Source organism: Homo sapiens, chromosome 5 (assembly GCF_000001405.40).
Source record: "Homo sapiens chromosome 5, GRCh38.p14 Primary Assembly".
Taxonomy (NCBI): Eukaryota; Metazoa; Chordata; class Mammalia; order Primates; family Hominidae; genus Homo; species Homo sapiens.
Window position 1 is genome coordinate 39,644,424 of NC_000005.10, and position 3,277 is coordinate 39,647,700.

The window sequence follows — 3,277 nt, forward strand, 5'->3', positions numbered from 1 at the left end:
TGAACATATAAGTGCATGTGTCTTGTCTGTAGAATAATTATTTTCCATTAAGTATATATCCAGTAGTGATATTGAAGAAACTATCAGCAGAGTAAACAGACAACCTACAGAATGGGAGAAAATATTCACAAACTATGCATCTGACAAAGGTCTAATTTCCAGAATCTATAAGAAACAAACAATTCAACAAGCAAAAATCAAACAACCCCATTAAAAAATGGGCAAAGGACGTGAACAGACACTTCTCAAAAGAAGACATCCATGTGGTCAACAGATACATTAAAAAATGCTCAACATCACTAATCATTAGAAATTTTAATAGTGCATTGTTTCTCCCTATCCAATCAGAAGCTAAACATTGGTCTACCCCTCTAAATATATTATAGATTAAGCAAAAACATACCAGCAGATGTATAGAGAGGTCAAGAAGAATCTGGGCAGGCCTTGATAGATTTTTTCACTCAGTCTATTACTGTTAGCTCGTACATTTTTTTTGTTTGTTTGTTTAACCATATTTCTACATGACTGTCCCTACTTCAGTGAATGGAAGCATAAAATCAGATAGTTTCCCCTGTATCTTTGAGTCTTCATTCTGAAGGCTCCCATGTCATGAAAAACTGATGAATTAAATTTGTTATGCTTTTCTCTTGTTAATCTGCCTTTTGTTATAGGGGTGTTGGCCAAGACCCTTAAGATGGGGAGGAAAGGAATCACCCCCTCTCCACCCCAATATGACAATGCTGCATCACAGCACTCTGAATCTTTTTTTGATTCAAAGTACTATCCAATTTATGAATTGTTCTTTGCTCAAATAAACTTTATTAAATTTATTTTGCCTAAAGATTTTTTTCAATAGTATTCTACTATGAAAATCTTTTCCATGGTTCTTCATCACCTACAAGATGAAGTTCAAACTCTTTACCTGTGAATATCTCATCCTTCATGAATTGAACCTATTTACCTCTCCAACGTTATCGTCCACCACTTCCTTGCCTGTCCTTTATAATCCTGAAGTTCTACACTGTTTTAAATGCTACATACATCTAATAATGTTTTTCAAGTCTATATTTTGACCATGCTATTATTTTTCCTGGGATCCCCTCCTTACTTCACCCCTGCATAGGAAGTACCTGGATATTTTACAAGGCAGCTCAGATACTATCTCTTTTATGATGACATCCCTAACATATTCTTCCTGTATGGGGCCCAGAATCTTGAGCATGTTTCCATATCTGCATTTATAATAAGTTACCTACTTATGTGTCTTTCTTTTCCTTTGAAATGTAAGCTTTCTATGAGCAAAATACTGCTTTCCTCTTTATTCAATATATTTGACCAAACTTGTTTATTATTTGCTGATTTTGAGTGCTGAACTCTTTTGGTGTTTTCTCCTTTATGGCAGTCACCTTGTCTTGGGTCTGGAAGAAAGCAAAATCTCAAGAACAAATGTTGAACTATAATGAGACTAACTTTTCCCTCTTAACTTAGGCCCTTGTGTTCTTTAACCAAATTTGAGTGTTTTGTCCCTCTTTCTTGTGATAAGCCTTTTTAAAAAGAGTCTTCTATTGATTAAAAAAATTATTTGTGACTTATCTGCACTCTATACTTCAGATGCCCTCCTATGGCAAGAAAAATAAAAGAAACATGGGTCTCACAGGGCTTGAGGTGTCCCAACCTACACGGAGCCAAAGAACAGATACCGGAAGTTGTATTAGGTACTATATAGATTAGGCACTACACATTTCAGTTCTTGTTTTAACTTCTGTCTTAATGGGACAAAAGGAGCACACAATTCTTTATCCTTATAGGGAAAGCCAGTTAAGCTTGAGAGATGTGACTATATAATTTACAACAGAGAAGATGGATCTCAGAACAAACCTAAAGTTATTGTACAGTTTCCAAAACATAAAGACAATGTAAGATCAAGTGGAAAGAGTGTGGGTTTAGAGTCAGATAGAAATGAATTTAAATCTATTATTCTTATATTTTATCAATTCATCCTAAAATTCTTTCAACAAGTAATGATTGTGCATTTGATATGATTTGGCTCTGTGTCCCCACCTAAATCTCATCTTGAATTGTAATCCCCACATGTCAACGGAGATATCTGGTAGGAGGCAATTGGATCATGGGGGCTGATTTCCCCCATCCTGTTCTTGTGATAGTGAGTGAGTTTTCACCACATCTGGTGGTTTAAAAGTGTGGCACTTCTCCCCTCACTCTCTCTCCTGCTGCCATGTAAGACATGCCTTGCTTCCCCTTCGCCTTCCGCCATGATTATAAATTTCCTGAGGCCTTCCCCGCTTTGTGGAACTGTGAGTAAATTAAACCTCTTTTCTTTATAAATTATCAAGTATCAGGTAGTTCTTTATAGCAGTGTGAAAATCACGAGTAGATGATGTTTGAGGGGAGAATTGAATGGCAAGAAATACCCCACCTAGAACTGTTAGTGCATAGACTCTGAGAAAAGTGGGTTGGAGGACTGAAAAATGAATCAGGGTGGCTGTGGAGCAGTGAGGGAGAGGAGAGTGGTAGGCAGGAAGTCAGAAATGTAGAGGAGAGACAGAATATATAGAAACTTGAAGCCCATGGAAAGAAATCTGAACTTTATTTTAAGAACAATGATAGCTTTTAGAGCACTTTTAGTAGATAACTAATACTTGACATTATAACAGATCATTCTGGTGGTCATGTGAAAAATGGAATATAAATGATGAGAATGCTTAAATGTAAAATTGGACATTTTGGAAGTACTTTATTAGAGTAAATTTTTGTTCATATTAGACAACCTAAAGGAAGACTGACTTATTAACAAAGCAGCAATTTCTCATGTTAATTTACTTTAAAAACAAATAAACTAATGAAATAAAATGAAATAAAGTAATGAAGTAATGAAAGTTAATTTACTGTAAATACAAAATAAATAAAGTAATGAATAAGTAAAGTAATTTTAGGTTAATATTTATTAACCTAAAAATTAAAACGTGTTAGAAAGTTCAGGCCACTTTAGACTCATTATTTCTGGCTCAGGAGGGCCTACAACAAGATTGTATTCAAAATCAAAGATGGCTCAAAATGCTTTGGCAAACTTGATTAACACAATAAAAAAGGCAAAGGACATGTATCAGTGTTCCAAGAAAATGAAGATATTTTCTGTAATAAATAAGGTACAATTAAATATAATAGTAATAAAAATAAGAGAAATGGTTTTGATGTATGTTTCCTTTTCAAAAGAAGAGATTTATGATAGAAAACTAAGCAAATGATAAATTTCCCT

The 3,277-nt window shown here is 34.4% G+C and overlaps 1 annotated feature.

The window, feature by feature from the left end:
- Nucleotides 1,552-1,721: an enhancer, noted in NCBI's record as "experimental_84898 CRE fragment used in MPRA reporter constructs". NCBI's record gives its function as "activates a minimal promoter by MPRAs in K562 erythroleukemia cells, with activity observed for both the introgressed and non-introgressed 5:39646162 variant alleles {active_cell/tissue: K562}" and the evidence as "EXISTENCE:reporter gene assay evidence [ECO:0000049][PMID:34662402]".